The following is a 20,504-nucleotide window of genomic DNA, read 5'->3' as shown; positions in this document are numbered from 1 at the left end:
TAAGCACTAATTCTAGTACTACTAGGTTATACTTTAGGCAAGGTGTTGAATAAATCTCTGATGGCTCATACCTGTAATCCTAGCCACTTGAGAGGATGAGGTGGGAGGATCACTTGAGCCTAGAAGTTCAAGTCCAGTCTGGACATCATAGTGAGACCTGTCTCTAAAAAAATTTTTTTTAATAAATAAATGAAAGGTGGAGTATTTGTATGAAAACAACTGGGAGACTAACAGTCCCTGCCTTGTGGGATTGTTATGAAGATTAAAAGAGAGACTGTTACCGAAGTACTTAGAAGAGCTATTATTTTGTTGCTGTCCTTTCCCCCTTGTATTTGGATAGATTACGATAGTTGTTTTTTCTATGTAACTTAATTGTCCAGTGGGGTTCTCATTCCTTTAAAGGCCTGGAGAAACTTGTCTTAAATGCTTTCCCAATTCATAAATTGGGACATAATTCCCAATTCATACTTAAGTCTCACCGTTGCAATTTAGACATAAAATCTGCCTCTTGAGTGGTTTCCACACCAAAAAATCCACAGACTCCTGAATTTTATATGGGCCTAATAGTCTTACTGAAAATTGGAAGTCTTAAGTTGTAGTCCATTTTACACAGTGTGAGGCCTTTCATACTCTGAATGTACGACTCGACTTTTTCTTCTTCACTCTGTCTAGCACTGTGCCCTCATTAGCCAGATTAATGTTCCCCTTTCTCCCAAGAAATGTTCTGACCTTACCCTCGTCCCTCAAGGACCCTCTTTCTCCCCCAGATTAACTTTCAAAGAGCTTTTCCAACCCAAAATGGCACCCTTCCTGAAAAGATTTCTAGTGGATACTGTTTTCTCTACCTCATTACAGATGTATTATGCTGCTTGGCTCCCCTCTCCCCACTTTGTTGTGGCAAACCTTTATTTCCAGAAATATGTCAAAGAAAATGAACATGTGATCCCTTTTTGTGATTTTTGTTGGGATTCACTGTATGAATTTCTTCTAGTTTAGATAATTCCACTGTGGCAAGCTTTTATTCTTATTATACAGCTCGTAAAGAGAATGTTATAGTCATTTGGTGTTATTAATGCTAAAATAGTAAACAAGAACACAAAATTTTCTAGATTAGAAGTGTTTTTCCCCACTGCTCCCCAGGCCAGGCACAGTGGCTCACATCTGTAATCTGGCACTTTGGGAGGCGGAGGCAGGAGGATTGCTTGAAGCCAGGAGTTTGAGACCAGCCTGGGCAACAAGCAAGACCCCTTCTCTAAAAAAAAAAAAAATTTAGCCATGCCTGGTGGTGTACACCTGTAGTCTTAGCTACCTGGGAGGCTGAGGCAGGAGGATTGCCTCAGCCCGGGAGTTCAGTGCTGCAGTAAGCTATGATTGCACCACTGAGCTCCAGCCTGGTCTACAGAGTGAGACCCTGTCTCTATAAAAATTAAAAAATAGGCTGGGCATAGTGGCTCATGCCTGTTATCTCAGCACTTTGGGAGGCTGAGGCAGGAGAATCACTTGAGTCCAGGAGTTCAAGACCAGTCTGGGCAACATGGATCCCATCTCTAAAAAAAATATAAGTAAGTGTTTTTTAATCCCTCTTGAGTAACTTGATTTGTCAAAAACAGATTCCAGAGTAGTGCTGTCACTGACTGTGGGGAATAACTGTTCATACTCAACGAAGAGTGCTCACTTACAGATCCTAACCCCTAAGGGCATGGGCTTCCTGCTGAGGAAATGAGATTTAGAATACAGCGTTCTAAAAATGGCAGTTAACAGATTATTTATTAAGGACCTGGTGGGTGCACAGAGGCATGCTAGAAGCTGTAAAGGACTTGATTCTTGCCCTCAAGAAACTTCCAAGGTTATAGACTAGTCCCAAAACAAGTAATGAGTGATGCTCTCTCAAATATACATACAATCAAATGTGAGATGGAGGTGAAGATGGGGAAGACCTTAGGCTCGGAGATTGTATTCAGGCTTTTATAGTGGCATTTATTTGATATAATTATGCATTTAAAAAACAAATTGTCATCACATCAGTCTGAAATGTATGGAGACACTTGTTGGTGAGAAAGGTTTTTTATATATAATAATTTACCCATAGGAATGTTTTTGATTAACGTTGTCTGTTAAAGACTTCACAATATTTCCCCCATTAATAGTCTATATCTTTTTGGAGCTGATCTGGAGAAGTCAAGGACCATATGCTAATTGCTATTTGATGTTATTCTGGGAGGACAATTGATTGGCTTTGGGGCAAGGAGTTGGAACTTGAGGACTCAAAGGTGGGTCTGAGTCTAGAGATCTTGCCACTGACTTTTGGCAAGTCTTTTGATTCTACCTTTGAAACTGCCTTTAAATGCCTTGTGGAGTACATTTTATGACTGTTCTGTACGTTTCCAGTAGAATGATAGTAATATCACAGAACATCCTTGGGGCATTGTTTCTAAAAGTTTGGGATTGTTAATAGTTACTAGGTTAAAAATGTAATATATGTAATAAAGGTAACAAATTAATACATAAATTTGGGAAATGCTTGGTAAATTAAACAGGACTTCTCAGGACAATGAATTTACACATGGCCATTTTTTTTTTTTTTTTTCAAAGAGCATTCACAAGACTGTAGTTTGTAGAACACTAGTTTGGGAACTGTTGGTGTAGGAATTAGGGTAATTAGGATTTGGACTATTCCAGGTAGAGGTTGTCACTATATTCGAGGAATTGTTCTTAAGTCTTTAGTCTTTCTATATATCGGAATTACCTATGGCAAATTAACAAGCAGAAATACAAAAATTGGGCCTTGGCTCAGGCCTAACAAATCAGAATATCTGCAAAGTATGGATGTGGAAAAACTTCCAGGTGATTCTATATACTCCTAAGACTGAAAACCGCTCAATTAGAATAGACCTTCTTGCCACTTGCTAAATGCAGTCTTTTTTTTTTTTTGAGACAAGTCTTGCTTTTGTCCCCTAGGCTGGAGTGTGATGGTGCAATCTCGGCTCACTGCAACCTCTGCCTCCCGGGTTCAAGCGATTATCCTGCCTCGCTTCACCCCCTACCTCCCCGAATAGCTGGGATTACAGGCGCCTGCCACCACGCCCAGCTAATTTTTGTATTTTTAGTAGAGACGGGGTTTCACCATGTTGGCCAGGCTGGTCTAGAACTCCTGACCTCAGGTGATTCACCCACCTCGGCCTCCCAAAGTGCTGGGACTATAGGCATGAGCCACTGCGCCTGGCCAGCTAAATGCATTCTTAATCCTATTTCAGTATGCTTCTGTTTTGTTTTCTTGGGTCTGGTCCAGGGACTAGACTGTTGCTGTAATTAAGTTCAGTTTTATTATTCTTCCCAGAGTATCTGTATCCCAGTTTTCAGATTCCATTTCCTCAGTGGGGCAAACTTATAGGTCAGTATAGGACAAGTTTTAAACATTAATAAAAAAGAGGTTGTATTGTATTTATATTGTCTTTCTCATTTGGCAGCCTTGAGTTTAATTTAGAAAATGCCTCTATTTGTAATTTACCTTTGTTTTGATATATTTTACAAATATAGGGACCACATAAGTGATTTTCCTCTTTTTCCTGACTTCCTTGTCAACTAATATGTTTTTGAAAGCTTCTTGTTAACTTATAATTGCAGGTAAGTTCCATTTTCTGTTTGCTTAAGCTCACTGACGTTATATTTGCAAGCACTGTTCTTGCATCAAATGGAAGATAGCCAATGGAACATTTGTGCATTGAGGTCAATATAGGAAAACTTAGCAGAATGACTACTTATTTGTTTTCTGTTAATGTCCATGCAGCTGCTCTGGAAATAAATGAAATGGAAGTACATGGGACAAAATCATTCTAATTTGAAATTTACCTGGAACCTTTTAAAAAATTTTCATATACATGTCGTACGTCTCCTCACCCCACCTAAAGCTGAACTACTCCCCCTTTCTCTTTTTTTCCTTTGATCCTTCACCAAATAATGGAGAAAATCTGATGGGTTTATTTACTTAGTAAAAGAAAATCTTGTAAAACAAGGAGAGAAATTATTTTAGTGCAAAGTATGACATGGTATATAAAAATATGTTCTGGCTGGGAGTGGTGGCTCATGCCTGTAATTCCCAGCACTTTGGGAGGCTGAGGCGGGCAGATCACGAGGTCAGGAGATTGAGACCATCCTGGCTAACACAGTGAAACCCTGTCTCTACTAAAAATACAAAAAATTAGCTGGGCATAGTGGCACGTACCTGTAGTCCCAGCTACTCAGGAGGCTGAGGCAGGAGAATCGCTTGAACCCAGGAGGTGGAGGTTGCAGTGAGCTGAGATCGCGCCACTGTACTCCAGCCTGGGGCGACAGAGTGAGACTCCATCTTAAAAAAAAAAAAAGTTCTATGTGATTTTAAAAGGCTTTATAAAATTATTTATTGTATTGCTTATGTAGCTTTAAAATGTTTATTTGTGTTTGTGTATGTGTGTGACCCTGTGAAAAACTGAAAGAATAAACAAAAAGTTAGAAAGTTAGAAAGTTGGAGTTTGATGCATTAATCCAGGAGCTGTCTGGGCAGGCCAACTTACACTTGGGGGGTATAAGCATTCCTGCTACCAGGGAAGTGAAATTTCCTACCATGGAGTAAGGATGTTTCATGTGGCTTTGTAATGGATAAAATCTTTCTCCTGATGCTTTTCCTACTGCTCTGATTTCGTGTTCACCATGCAACCATCTTTTACTAATTAAGCATCCCAGGCATTTGGATTTTGAATGGTGGGAATGTATTAGCTATTCGAAAATAAATATTCCCTTCTGCCTTCCCAGGACCTACACTATCAACTATACTTTCTCCCTCCTGTATGTATAACCTGTCCCTCTCCACTAGACCCTTTCTATGAACATTTAAATGTGAATTAGAGTTTCTAATCTTTAAAGATGTCATTTCCGTGGACTTCATACCCCTCCAGTTTCTGTCTGTTCCTGCCTCTTCCCTTGGCAGCTGGACTCTGAGTTATCTCATACTTGGTATCACCTACGATTCAGCCTACCTCCATTTGGCTTTCATTCTCATTTTTTCCGTGGAAACCGCTCTCATTAAGGTCATCAGAGACTCCATGGTCCTGAATTCTGTGGACACTTCTCAGTCTTCTTCCTACTTGACCTTTCAGCAGCCTTCTGTATTCCTACTTTACTGGAATTGGATTCATTCCCTGTGGCTGCTGTGACAAATTACCACAAACTGGTATCTTAAAACAACATTTATTGTCTCATAGTTCTGGAGGCCAGAAGTCCAAAGTCAAGGCATCAGGAGGGCCACTTTCCTTCTGGAGGCTCTAGGGGAGAATTTGTTCTTTGCCTCTTCCAAATTCTGATGGCTGCAGGCATTCCTTGATTTGTGGCCACACCACTCCAATCTCTGCCTCCATGGTCACATTGCCTCCTCCTCTTCTGTGTGTGTGTTAAATCTCCCTCTGCTTTTCTCTTATATACCTATCATTGAATTGAGGGCCCATCTGAATAATTCAGGATGATCTCCTTATCTTAAGGTCCTTAATTATATATACAAACACCCTTTTTTCCAAATAAGGTAGCCTTCACAGATTCCATGGATTAGGACATGGACATATTTTTGGGGGGGCTACCATTTAATCCAAATCAAGAAAATACAGAACACTGGGTTCGGTATTTTCTTGATTTCTGTGATGTCACACTCTTCTGATTGTCTTCTCAACTCTCTGGGTTCTTCTCAGTTTCCTTTTCATGTTGCCTTCCTCCTCTACTTGACTTTTTTTTTTGGGGGGGTGAAATGGAGTCTCGCTCCATCACCCAGTCTGGAGTGCGATGGCGCGATCTCAGCTCACTACAACCTCCATCTCCCAGGTCCAAGTGATTTTCCTGCCTCAGCCTCCGAGTAGCTGGGATTACTGGCATGTACCACCACATTCAGCTAATTTTTGTATTTTTAGTAGGGATGGGGTTTCACCATGTTGGCCAGGCTGGTCTCGAACTCCTGACCTCAAGTGATCCACCTCCCTCGGCCTCCCAAAGTGTTGGGATTACAGGTGTGAGCCACAGTGCCCGGCTTCTACCTGACTTTTCAAAATATTCACACACATCAGTGCTGGGTCATGGGCCCTCTTCTCATCTCACTTTGCATTTTCTCCATAGGCAGTATCTTCTATTCCTATGACTTCAGTTACCATTTATATAAACGACTACTCCAACTTCCTATATTTAGGCAGACTTCTCCTATTCTTGGTGCATACAGCCAACCTACTTAACATCACCATTTCAGTGTTTCAGAAGCATTGCAAATTTAACATGTCCAAAATAGAACTCATCACCTTTTTTACCCCCACGCCCCTATCACCACCCAAGAAAAGTTTGCCCTTCCCACAGAGTTCCTTAGCTCAGTGAATGACATTACCAATCCACCCAGTTGCTTGTGCCAAAATTATCCTTGATATTTCCCTCACTCTGACTCCCCACATCTAGTTCATCACCAAAAACCTCCTAAAATAGTTTTAGAGTCTACCTCCTTTCTTCTTACTGCCATCATCTTAGTTCAAGCAGCTACCCTTTTTTCATCTGGATTGGAGCAATAGCTGCCTTACCAGTCTCTCATTATTAACTCTCAGTCTCTGCAATCCATTTTCCACATGGCAGCCTGAGTGATCTCAAAATATGTCGAATCATGCTACGGTGCATTATAAGGAGTTTCAGAACTCCTTATAATGGCTTCTATTATTTAGGATGAAATCCAAAATCCTTCATGTGGTCTCTTAAGGTCCTGAATGATCTGATCTGGCCCCACCTGCCTCTCCAACCTCATCTCTCTTCCTTGTCATTCTCTGGCTATATACGTACCTACCTTCTTGTAGTTCCCGAAAATTCCCTCCTGCCTTTGATTCATTGTACGTCATTTTCTCTCTCCTCCCTATTGCTAGTAAGCTTACATTCTTTAGGTATCAATGAAAATGTTTCTTGCTCAGGGAAACCTTTCTGAACCATCCCCCTCTCTCCTGGACTAGATTGGGCCCCCTGTTGTTTTCTAATAGTCCCTTTTATAGCATGGATCATTATTTTTAACTATTTTCTTGTCTCTCTCCTGAGAGAATGTAAATATCACCAGGGCAAGGGCTGTGTACCCTATCAAAGCAAGAGTCAAGCCCAGTGCCTCAGCACAGAGGGTCAGTAGGCACTCAGATATTAATGAGTGAATAGATTTAATGATCTTAGTTGTTAAGATGTAGCTGAGAGAAAGCAAAACCCGAATCATGTGGCAGAATATTTGAAATAAAATTTAAAGCTGTCATCCACCATATTTACTTTTTAAAATGGTATTAACCAGACTGAAGGAAGTAATGAAACTGTAGGAAACAAAATAGGAGGGAGTAGTTTTTATTTCAGTTGTTCAGTAGACTTTTTCCAGGTAATTCAGTCAAAAGTCCTAAGTAATCTTAGCAAACTGTTATCATAGGCACATTGCAGGTATGTAACTTCTGAAAAATATTATTTAAGTTCAAAGAATAGCTAGTTTTTGGCATAAGCATGTTGGATCTGAAAGTTGTGGGTGTTTAAAGTGTTAAACTGATGAAGCATGTATCCTTGAAATATCCTAGATACATTAAAAGTCCTGGAGTTCTTTCTAACTTGGAACATAAGTCCCTATTTCAAGCCACATATTTTAGACACAAATATGTCTTGACCCTTGACCATGATAGTGCCAACTCAAATGCTTGGCAGGCCTTAGCACCCCTGTATTGACTATTAACAGGGTTGTGAGCTTTCCCATTTTCAGCCAAAGTGACAACTGTTATTTCTTATTTTCAGCATGTTTGACATGTGTATAAGAGGGAAAGTGGGGTGAAGGGGAAATAAGTTTCAAATTGTTCTTAGGTTTCAAGATGCAATATAGTCACAGACCAGACACAAACTCCTTTATCTACTGTTGAGGTCTAATTCTTAAAGAACTGCTTCTCAAGCAGTGACCTATTTCAAATTGCACATTTGTCTTCTTGATAGATAAAAAGATGTTGTGACATAGTGGTTTGTGTGGCAGAGTTAATTGCCAGTGTTTATTGAATACCTGTATAAGCTATTGTTAGGTGACAACTTTCCCCAAAGATTAGCAGGTTAAAACAACTAATATTTATTATTTCATAATTTCTGTGCATCAGGAATCTGGGAGTAGCTTAGCAGGGTGCCTGTGCTTGAGACTCTTACAAAGTTGCAGTCAATCTGTCATCTGGGGCTGCTATCTCATCTGAAGGCTTGACTGGGAGGAAAATGCACTTCTAAGCTCACTTACATGATGGTTCATTTCCTCTCCCATGAGCCTCTCTGTAATGTAACTCACAACATGGCAGCCATTCAGCCTCTTAACCCGATTTATGTAACCAAGCATTCCTCCCATCTCTGGAAGCTTTGGGCATATTTTCTTTGTCCTCACTACACTAGACTTTCATCCTTGGTGTGGATGAGGATCAAGTGAAATAATGAATGTGAAATGGTGAAATGGAATGACTAGAGAAACACAGTGATCAAGCATGGACCGTGAGCTGGGGAAGAGCTGGAAACAGAGAATGTTACATGAAACTGGGAGCAGGAACTTCAGGGAAGTTAAGGGTGATGATCCTGTCTTCCCTTGTGTCTTCCCCAAGTTGGAAACATCCAAATGCCTTCCCTAGGAGTTACCAGTCTCCAACAAAAATCTCCCTATTGCCACCTAGCTAGTAAAGCCAGGGCACATTAAGCACCAGTTCACTCACACCCAGTAGGCCCACAAAACAATGTTGTTCTTGAACTATGTGCCTTAAAGTGTGGGTATGAAAGTGCTTTATTAATTTTTAAACAGTATAAAAATTAAGTTGTTGGAATGCTGCTGTTTGGAAACACCAAACTTTCTAATTGTGTGGAAAACACAGGTTGAATAGTACAAAATACAAATCAACACTGTATAATATTGTAAGAGAATCACTTGCCTAGTATTGACAATACCATATCAGTGTTTTTAACTTCTGTGAAGTATTTGCGTTAAGTTCATTAACAGTTTTTGTAGATTTTATGGTAATTCCCCACTCCCTTTCTCATGAATAAGCACATCCTGGAATTTGCTATCTGTGTTCCACCTTGCTCTTGAATTAGAAGGGTTTTTTTTTTCTTTCTTTCTTCCTTTGCCTTCCCTTTCTCTTTTGCCTTACAATCATGTACACTCAGGACTTACTTTTTGGGCACAGGAAGATTTTTTTTAAAAAAACTGAACTCTGATTTCTGATTCTCTATAGTGATTTTCCATATTGGTGGTGAGAAATCAGTGTGCTAGTTGCAAACAACTGCCAAATCTTTGGAAATAATAGTACAGTATATCTTGCTACCCAGCAAGGTTCAGGACCTTTAAGAGTCTCTGTGCTCTTACTTACAGGGCAAATACAGTTGCCCTGGCATTTAGAACAGACTTGCTTCTATCACTGTTATGCTACAGATGGAAGTGGTAAAAATAAAGAACTGGTTTCTTTCCCTCTATAGCTTATGAAATTATTATTATGGATCTGTATTTGGAATAGACATTGATTTCTTTTGTTTCTATTTAAAATATGTTAAGCAGATATATTTCATATTAGTAGCCTTATTTAAACCTACAGTGATTTAAATGGGTTCTATTTTAAATGAATTCTTTTAGAACTATGTACTACTGAGTTGTTTTTCCATCTATTCTTTGCTCTTCACAATTTTACCTTGTCTTTTTAGAATATTACATTTCTAATATCCATAACAGGTTAGGAAATTGCAAAACAAAACAAACAAAAAATAAAAACAAAAAACCTTTAAAGAGAACTAAGAAAGAATATTTTACTGTATCCAGAAACAGAAAATAACTTATTCACAAGTGTTGCCAAGATGGAAACAACCCCTGGGAAATAATTTGTTATAGAAACTTAAAGAAGCCCCAAGGAAGGTGGGAGTCGGGGTAGAGATGGAGTCAAGGTTGAAGAGAGATGAGTTAGAGAGGGAAAGTTGCCTAAATACAATTAAGCCTCAGGTATTTATGGAACTCATAATATTGTGGTGAGTTACAAAATCTATAAAACTCAATCTTGCTTGTCAGGAATTGAGAATCTAATTGGAAGGAGAAAAATTATGCATATCAAACAACAATTAAGTAGTGTTAATGCTGTACTAAGTACAGAAGGGAAGCAGTGAATAAATAGCGAAGGAAAGTAGTGAATGAAGACTGGAATGATTTTTGAGGAATTGTTAAGATTTAGATGAATAACAGAAAAAGATGTATTCTAAATGATAGCAAAAAACATCAAAATGGGTTTAGAAGCCAAAATAAACAATTTTATGTACATACAATTTTACGAAGCTGTAGACAGAAACATATATATGAGCTAGAAAAATTTAAGGCCGGCAAAAATTGCCATAAAAAATTAAATATAATGAATAACATATTTATTTTAGTTATAAACTTTCATTTAAATTATTTTATAAAAAATAAAAATTATAACAAATATAATAAATGTTTTTACAAAAGATAAGGAAAAGATATATACCCCAATAGAAAAATGGGCAAAGTACTTTAGCAGTAAAATTACAGAATAAGAAATATAAATGGCCAGTAAACATATCTTAAGATAATCAGCCTCAGTAAAAATTAAGGAAATGTAAAAAAATGCAAGTTTTATGAGATTGGCAATGGTTTAGAAAATGATAGTACTCATGAATGTTGGGAAACGGGCACTTCCACACCACTGGTGGGAATTTAAATTCTTATAGTAGTGTGGCAATGCCAAGAGCCTTAGAAAAGAGAACATACTCTCCAATGTAACAGCTCTATTTCTAGGAGATAAAAAGAAATAATTAGAAAAGAAGACCTTTATAAAGGAGAACCTTTATAAACAGAAACATTGGAAACACCCCCAAAAGATGGTATGGCTATGTTATTAAACAACATAGGAATGAGAAAAAGCAAATGATGGGGCATCTTGTATCACATGATCCTATTACTATTGAGAATGGATACTTGGGAAATGTGTGTGTATGTTTGTGTATACACAAACATATGGGAATTCAGGAAGGTTATATGCGCAACATTGTTAATTGTTCTTAACTCTGGATGGCTGGACAACAGGTGGCTTTTGTTTTTTCCTTTTTGCTTATCAATATGATAAACATGTATTTTTTAAAATACATTTTAAAGAAAAACAGCTTGAGAATTAGAATAAGGAGTAGGTGCTTACAATGTTCATTAAGAATGCATTTTCACTGTTTCAATGTTAAGGAAGCTGTAATGATCTTGACTAGGTTCCAGGACCTACAGAAATTTGGCATGGGAAGATTCCTACCCCTCCCACCCCTGTCCCACCTGCCTAGAAAGACTAAGTGAGCCTAAGTGTTAATAGACATCTTTTCTTTTAACTCTTAAATAATTGTACATCTGTCTAGTTGATAACTGCAGGATGTGGATGGTTTTATAAGAGTTACAGACTAAGTTTCTGTTTATCTATAGTTAAAATCTTTGACTTAGAATTTCAGAAGCTTCTGACAGAATCTGCATGTTTTAGGTCTCTACATTTCCTTTATCCTTATATTCATTTTATCTTTTCTTTTGCTTCTCTTTAGGTTCCATCATAATGAATGGATCCAATATGGCAAATACATCACCGAGTGTAAAATCCAAAGAGGACCAGGGGTTAAGTGGGCACGATGAAAAGGAAAACCCATTTGCAGAGTACATGTGGATGGAGAATGAAGAGGATTTCAACAGACAGGTAAAGAAAGAACTGGAAAAGTGGAAGATTGATGATACATGTAACTCAACAGCTATAATATTTTACTGCCAGTTTATTACAAAAGAAATGGATACAGTTAGCTTTAGAATAACTTAAAAATTCATTGGTGGGGGGCCTCATCTGGAATGACCAAGAAACATCTTCATCTGGTAACAGACCAGAGTGATAGTACCTTGGAGGAAGATATTTATATTTTTCTTACCATGTTGATTAAAAGAGGAAACAAATATCAGACTAATTAGTTGATATCTGAACATCCTCACGTGAGAGCCCATGTTTAACCAAATAGATTTGCATATACTCCACACTCTGATATGCCTTCTAAGTGTAGTTCACATTACACAGTAACTACTGCAGAGGGTCCCTGCCCTCAGCCTTGTTCTGGCTAGATTTGTTTATGACATTTCTCTCAGCAACTGTAGACCATTCTAGAATATTCCCAGAATTTAAATCAAACAAGACTCTTATCAATCTTAGAGGATTGACATAAAACCCTTGTACCAAACCATGGTAGCTGAGGTCCTTTATCCTGCCCTGATTCTGCCTTTAATCCTAGGAAGCCCAGTGGTTCTATAACTCTCTGTAGTGATCAATGTGAAATTAATTGCTTGAACAGTGGAGCACTAAAAAACAGAATGGTAGTGAGGTTGTTTTTCTATACTTTGTAGTTTGTTGCTTTCACTTGCTTATAGGAAATGTGATACTCTGCATTTCATTTTGAAAATAAATGAAGACATAAAAGAAGTTTAAGGCCAGGCATTGTGGCTCATGCCTGTAATCCCAGCACTTTGGGAGGCCAAGGTGGGCAGATCACTTGAAGTCAGGAGTTCAAGACCTGCCTGGCCAACATGGTAAAACCTCATCTCTACTAAAAATACAAAAATTAGCTGGGCATGGTGGCACCCTCCTATAATCCCAGCTACTTGGGAGGCTGAGGCACAAGAATTGCTTAAACCAATAGGTGGAGGTTGCAGTGAGCCAATCGCACCACTGCACTCCAGCCTGGGCTACAGAGCAAGACTCTGTCTCAAAAAAAAAAAAAAAGATTAAGAACTCTCACTGAAGGTAAATATGTTTTCCATGGGATTTTAGAACAGTCGTGTTTGGCATTTTTGTTGACCTAATGGTTTCACTCTTCCTTTATCCAGCCTCTGAATGAAATATATGTTGTTGAAAACATAAAACAATTTTCACTAGCTTTGTTAACACTCACTGACATGCTCTTAACCCCAGTGATCAGGATTGCACCAGGGCTATTAGAAGCCAGATGTCTGAGCTGTGGGTCAGCTGTGCACTCCTACATTCAAGAGTTTAGCAAACTCAGAGACAAGGTACATGGAAAAGTGCTGGAAAGCTAGGGGCTTGCAGAAACACACATACACATTCACACACACACACACACACACACACACACACACACACCCACACACACAAAGAGATTGAGGAAAGACAGTTGAGAAGCTTTAAAAATTGTAACTTTTTTTCTGGAGATCTAGGTAAGCAATGACAGATATATGCATGGCAGCTTCCAATATTGCAGTAAATACCAGGCCTTAAGAAGGGCTGAGCAGATAAACAATTGTTTGCTCAAATTCCCCCAACCCTAATGTTTTACAGGTAATACTAGCTTGGCAACATAATTTTGGGTTTTTTTGTTGTTTTTTGTTTGTTTGTTTGTGGAGGTGGAGTCTCACTCTGTAACCCAGGCGGGAGTGCAGTGGCTCAATCTCGGCTCACTGCAACCTCCACAGTCCAGGCTCAAACCATTGTCTTGCCTTAGCCTCCTGAGTAGCTGGGACTACAGGCATGTGTCACCATCCCTGGCAAATTTTTGCATTTTTAGTAGAGATGGGGTTTCGCCATGTTGGCTAGGCTGGTCTTAAACTCCTGGCCTCAAGTGATCTGCCTGTCTCAGCCTCCCAAAGTGCTGGGATTACAGGCGTGAGCCACCGTGCCTGGCCTGGCAACATAATTTTGAAACTGTTATATGATTTCAGGTCATAGGAGTAAGTATTTCGGAGAAGCCTTCTTTATCCTTCATTTGGGAGCAGGAGGGTTTAGGAATCTGGGATATGATTGATGTCAGTTCTTTCTGAACACCTGTATATTACTCTGTTACACTATGGTGTGCTGTACAGTTTTTACCACTGCCAACCCCCATTCCATTACTAGCATAGTTTTCATGGTAATTCAGAAGTGGTTTTGCATACCATGTACCTTGAGTTGGATCTTAAGGAGTAGAAACTGGTTTCTAGCTAGCAACCCTGATACAATGTCTTCTGACTTTCTAATAAAATATCTAACAAAACATAGAATAAGATGAAAACAGCTTACAACCCCCCAAACTCGGAGTGACATTCATTGGTCTTTTGAAAAGATTTTCATTGACTGTGAGGCTGATAGAAGCAGATTGAAATGTAGTTTTGGGGGAAAAAGGATTAAGTCTCAAGAAAAGTAGTGGGACTTTTATTTTAAAGTAACTCAGGAAAGAAGAAGTAAGACCTAACATACTAGTTATAATTGTGAATGGCTTATATCCTCCAACACCCACACACATACAAAACTTTTTAAGAAATGGGGTCTTGCTATGTTGCCCAGGCTGGACTTGAACCCCTAGGCACAAGTGGTCCTCTCACTACAGCCTCTTGATTAGCTGTGACTACAGGCATGTGTCACAGTGCCTGGCTAGAATTTTTAAGAGAGAAGATAGGTGGTGGGCGCCTTTAGTCCCAGCTACTTGGGAGGCTGAGGCAGGAGAATGGCGTGAACCCAGGAGGCGGAGCTTGCGGTGAGCTGAGATCGCGCCACTGCACTCCAGCCTGGGCGACAGAGTAAGACTCCGTCTCAAAAAAAAAAAAAGGACGCAGTTGGGTTAAGGGGGAAAAAAAGGGAGAAGTGTAATTATATGCAACTTGGAACATACACTCTCACTGGCTATTCAGGCCACAGAAAAAGATGGAAAATGCTTAGTGAATTGTAAAATCTTATGGGTCATTTCTAACTAGATTTTTTTTTTTTTTTTACTCTAAGCTTCTGTCATTTTCCCGTTGGGTGTCTATTAAGTAAAAATCAGGGTAGATATATTCTGAAATGTCAACAATATTCATTATGTGTGAGTGTTGAGATTAAGGGGGCTTTTTTTCCCTTCCAATTTGGTTTTCTTAGTTCTGATTTCCCAACTCATATGCAAAGAAAATGGATTACTTCCACAATAAGGGAAACAGGTTCACATGTAAAGAACCTAAAAGAGAAACATCTGAATTAAAATGCTTCAGAAAAGGAAAACAAAATAATGAAGATAGAAAATATCAGGAAATTTCAAACACAAAGCAATATAAGTACTGGATAAAGTGGAAATTGAAGGGAAAAAACAGTTCTCTCAAACCCTGCTACTGCTTTATCAACTAAGTTGATTATGTAATATTCTAAATCCTTCGTTGTCATTTCCACAGTGTTCAGAATATGAATAGGAACAAAGATCATCAAGATTCAGGAGGATGGCAAAACCCAGTCCAAGGAAAATAAAAATCATAGTAAAGTGATACAGGAGCTGAAAGACAAAATAGGCAGTATAAAAAAAGAACCTAACAGGTTTGACAGAGCTGAATAACACAAGAATTTCACAATGCAATCACAAGTATTAACAGCAGAATAAACCAAGCTGAGGAAAGAATCTCAGAACTTGAAGACTGGTTCTCTAAAATAAGACAGGCCAGGCATGGTGGCTCACACCTGTAATCCCAGGACTTTGGGAGGCTGAGGCGGGGATCACCTAAGGTCAGGAGTCAGAGACCAGCCTGGCCAACATGATGAAACCCCATCTCTACTAAAAATACAAAAATTAGCGGCTGGGCGCGGTGGCTCACGCCTGTAATCCCAGCACTTTGGGAGGCCGAGGTGGGCGGATCACGAGGTCAGGAGATCGAGACCATCCTGGCTAACACGGTGAAACCCCGTCTCTACTAAAAATACAAAAAATTAGCCGGGCGTGGTAGCGGGCGCCTGTAGTCCCAGCTACTCGGGAGGCTGAGGCAGGAGAATGGTGTGAACCCAGGAGGCGGAGCTTGCAGTGAGCCGAGATCGCGCCACTGCACTCCAGCCTGGGCGACAGAGCGAGACTCTGTCTCAAAAAAAAAAAAAAAAAATTAGCTGGGCCTGGTGGCAGGCACCTGTATCCCAGCTACTCGGGAGGCTGAGGCAGGAGAATCTCTTGAATCTGGGAAGTGGAGGTTGCAGTGAGCTGAGATCACATCACTGCACTCTAACCTGGGCAACAAGTGTGAAACTGCATCTCAAAAAAATTAAATAAGACAGTCAAAAATAAAGCAAGAAGAATAGAAAGGAATGAACAAAAACCTCCAAGAAGTATGGGATTATGTAAAGAGGACAAATCTATGTATCACTGGCATCCCTGAAAGGGAGGGGAACAAAGTAAATAACTTGAAAGATATATTTCAGGATTGATATGGTTTGGCTCTGTGTCACCACCCAAATCTCATCTTGTAGCTCCCATAATTCCCATGTGTTGTGGGAGGGACCTGGTGGGAGATGACTGAATTATGAGGGTGAGTCTTTCCTTGCTGTTCTCATGATAGTGAATTGGTCTCACGAGATTTGATGGTTTTAAAAACGGGAGTTTTCCTGCACAAGCTCTCTCTCTTTGCTTGCCGCCATCCATGTAAGATGTGACTTGCTCCTCCTTACCTTTTACCTTCTGCCATAATTGTGAGGCCTCCCCAGCCACATGAAACTATAAGTTCAGTAAACCTCCTTCTTTTTTAAATTGCCCAGTCTTGGATATGTCTTTATCAGCAGTGTGAAAACAGACTAATACAAGGATACCATCCATGAAAACTTCCCCAACCATGTTAGAGAGTCCAACAGTCAAATTCAGAAAATACAGAGAACTCCTGCAAGATTCCACACAAGAAGATCATTCCCAAGACACATAATCATCAGACTTTCCAAGGTCAAAATGAAAGAATATTAAAGACAGCTAGAGAGAAAGGGTAGGTCACCTACAAAGAGATCCCTATCAGGCTAACAGCAGACCTCTTGGCTGAAACCCTATAAGCCAGAAGAGACTGGGGGACTATATTTAACATTCTTAGAGTAAAAAAATCTTCAACCAAGAATTTATATCCAGCCAAACTAAGTTTCTTAAATGAAGGAAAAATAAGATCCTTTTCAGATAAGCAAATGTTGAGGGACTTCATTACTACTAAACTTGCCTTACAGGAGACCTTGAAAAGAGCACTAAATATAGAAAGGAAAGACCACTACCAGCTAATACAAAAACCCACTTAACCACACAGACCAGTGTCACTGTAAAACAACCACACAAACAGGCCAACATAATAACCAGCAAACAGCACAATGACAGGATCAAATCCACACATATCAATACCAACATTGAATGTAAATGAGCTAAATGCCTCACTTAAAAGGCACAGAGTGGCAAGCTGGGTAAAAAAGCAAGACCCAATAGCATGCTGTCTTCAAGAAACCCATCTCACACATAATGACACTCATAGGCTCAAAATAAAGGGATGGAGAGAAATCTACCAAGCAAATGGAAAACAGAAAAAAGCAGGGGTTGCAATCCTAATTTCAGACAAAACAGATTTTAAACCAACAAAGATAAAAAAAGACAAGGGAAGGACATTACATAATGGTAAAGGGTTCAATTCAGCAAGAAGACCTAACTTTCCTAAATACATATGCACACAACATAGGAGCACCCAGATTCATAAAGCAAGTTCTTTATGAATCTGGGTGCAAAAAGACATAGACAGCCACATAATATTAATAATGTGAGACTTCTATACTCCACTGACAATATTAGATCATTGAAGCAGAAAATTAACTAAGATATACAGGACCTAAATTCACCATTGGAACAAATGGGTCTGCTAGACCTTTACAGAAGTCTCCACCCAAAAACAACAGAGTGTACATTAATCTCATTGCCACATGGTACACACTTTAAAATTGACCACATAATTGGACATAAAACAATCCTCAACAAGTGTAAAAGAACCGAAATCATACCAAACACACTCTTGGACCACAGCACAATAAAAATAGAAGTCAACACAATGAAAATAAAACCATACAATTACATGGAAATTAGACAACATACTCCTGAATGACTTTCAGGTAAATAATGAAATTGAGGCAGAAATCAAGTTATTTGAAAATAAGGAGAACAAAGATACAACATACCAGAATCTCTGGAACATAGCTAAGGCAGTGTTAAGAGGGAAATTCATAGCACTAAATGCCCACCTCACAAAGTGATAAAAGATCTCAAATTAACAACCTAACATCACAACTGAAAGAATTAGACAAGCAAGAGCAAATCAACCCCAAAGCTAGCAGAAGACGAGAAATAACAAAAATCAGAGATGAACTGAAGAAAACTGAGACATGAAAAACCATTTAAGAGATCAGCGAATCCAGGAGTTGGTTTTTTGAAAAAAGTTAATGAAATAGGCCAGGCGTGGTGGCTCATGCCTATAGTCCCAGCACTTAGGGAGGCTGAGGTGGGCAGATCACTTGAGGTCAGGAGTTTGAGACCAGCCTGGCCAACATGGTGAAACCCATCTCTACTAAAAATGCAAAAATTAGCCAGGCATGGTGGCATGTGCCTGTAATCCCAGCTGCATGGGAGGCTGAGGCAGGAGAATGCATGAACCCAGGAGGCAGATGTTGCAGGGAGCTGAGATTGCACCACTGCACTCCAGCCTGGGTGACAGAGCGAGACTTCATCTCAAGAAAAAAACTAATGAAATAGGCTAGTAGCTGCAGTAATTAAGAAGAAAATAGAGAAGATCCAAATAAACACAATTAGAAATGACAAAGGGAATGTTACTACTGACCCCACAGAAATAAAACAACCATCAAAAACTACTACAAGCACTACACACATGAACTAGAAAACCTAGGAGAAATGGATAAATTCCTGGACACATAAACCCTCCCAAGACTGAGCTAGGAAGAAATTGATTCCCTGAACTGACTAATAATGAGCTCTGAAATTGTATCAGTAATAAATAGCTTACCAACCAAAAAAGCCCAGGACATGATGGACTCACAGCCAAATTCTACCAGACATACAAAGAAGAGCTGGTACCATTCCTACAGAAACTATTCTAAAAAATTGAGGAGGAGGGATTTCTCCCCAACTCATTCTACAAGGCCAGCATCATCCTGATACCAAAACCTAGTAGAGACACAACAAAACAAGAAAACTTCAGGGAAATATCCTTGATGAACATTGAATCCTCAACAAAATACTTGCAAACCAAATCCAGCAGCACATCAAAAAGCTAATCCACAATGATTAAGTAGGCTTCATCCCCGGGATGCCAGGTTGGTTCAACATGCAAACATCAATAAATGTGATTCATCATGTAAACAGAATTAAAGATAAAAGCCACATGATTATCTCAATAGAAGCAGAAAAGTCTTTTGATAAAATTCAACATTGCTTCATGTTTAAAACTCTCAATAAACTAGGTATTGAAGGAATATACCTCAAAATAATAAGAGTCATCTATGACAAACCCACAGCCAACGTTATACTGAATGAGCCAAAGCTGGAAGCATTCCCCTTGAAAACCGGTACAAGACAAGGATGCCCTCTCTCACCACTTACATTCAACATAGTATTGGAAGTCCTAGCTGGAGCAATCAGGCAAGATAAAGGGCATCCAAATAGGAAGAGAGGAAGTCATACTATATCTGTTTGCAGACAACATGATTCTATATCTAGAAAACTCCGTAGTCTCAGCCCAAAAGCTCCTTTAGCTGATAAATAACTTCAGCAAAGTTGCAGAATACAAAATCAATGTACAAAAATCACTAGCATTCCTATACACCAACAACCACCAAACTGAGAGCCAAATCAGAAAGGCAATCCCATTCACAGTTGCCACACACACACACACACACACACACACACACACAACCTAGGAATACAGCTAACCAGGGAGGTAAAAGATCTCTACAATGAGAATTTCAAAACACTGCTCAAACAAATCAGAGAAGATGCAAACAAATGGAAAAACATCCCATGCTCATGGATAGGAAGAATCAATATCATTAAAATGGCTATACTGCCCAAAGCAGTTTACAGATTCAATGCTATTCCTATCAAACTACCAATGACATTCTTCACAAAACTAGAAAAAAATATTTCAAAATTTATATGGAACCTAAAAAGTGCACGAATAGCCAAGGCAATCATAAGTAAAAAGAACAAAGCTGAGGGCATCACGTTACCTGACTTCAAACTATACTGCAAGTCTACAGTGACCAAAATAGCATGGTACTGGTACAAAAGCAGGCACATAAACCAGTGGAACAGAACAGAGACCCCAGAAATGAGACCACACATCTACATCTGATCTTTGACAAAGCTGACAAAAACAAGCACTAGGGAAAAGACTCCCTGTTTAATAAATGGTGCTGGGATAACCGGCTAGCCATATGCAGAAGTTTGAAGCTGGACCCCTTCCTTACACCATATACAAAAATAAACTCAAGATGGATTAAAGACAAATGTAAAACCCAAAACTTTTTTTTTTTTTGGGACAGAGTCTTGCTCTGTAGCCCAGGCTGGAGTACTCACTGCAAGCTCCGCCTCCCGGATTCTCGCCATTCTCCTGCCTCAGCCTCCAGAGTAGCTGGGACTACAGGTGCCTGCCACCACACCCGGCTAATTTTTTGTATTATTTAGCA

General features: G+C 39.4%; 1 protein-coding gene across 4 annotated transcripts in view; it reads left to right on the top strand.

The window, feature by feature from the left end:
- The window catches only part of PAIP2B (poly(A) binding protein interacting protein 2B), a 44,366-nt gene that overhangs the window by 12,914 nt on the left and 10,948 nt on the right, over positions 1 to 20,504 (top strand). For all 4 annotated transcript variants that reach the window (NM_020459.1, XM_005264311.5, XM_005264310.5 and 1 more), the window contains one exon: positions 11,590 to 11,738. In NM_020459.1, the coding sequence (NP_065192.1) occupies positions 11,601 to 11,738 (138 nt within the window). In that variant the 5' untranslated portion in view covers positions 11,590 to 11,600. The remainder of the gene's footprint in view (positions 1 to 11,589; positions 11,739 to 20,504) is intronic.

The sequence above is a fragment of the Homo sapiens genome, chromosome 2, assembly GCF_000001405.40.
Source record: "Homo sapiens chromosome 2, GRCh38.p14 Primary Assembly".
NCBI classification, from domain to species: Eukaryota; Metazoa; Chordata; class Mammalia; order Primates; family Hominidae; genus Homo; species Homo sapiens.
Note: the sequence above shows the minus strand (reverse complement) of the source record. Positions and strands in the feature narration are given on the sequence as shown.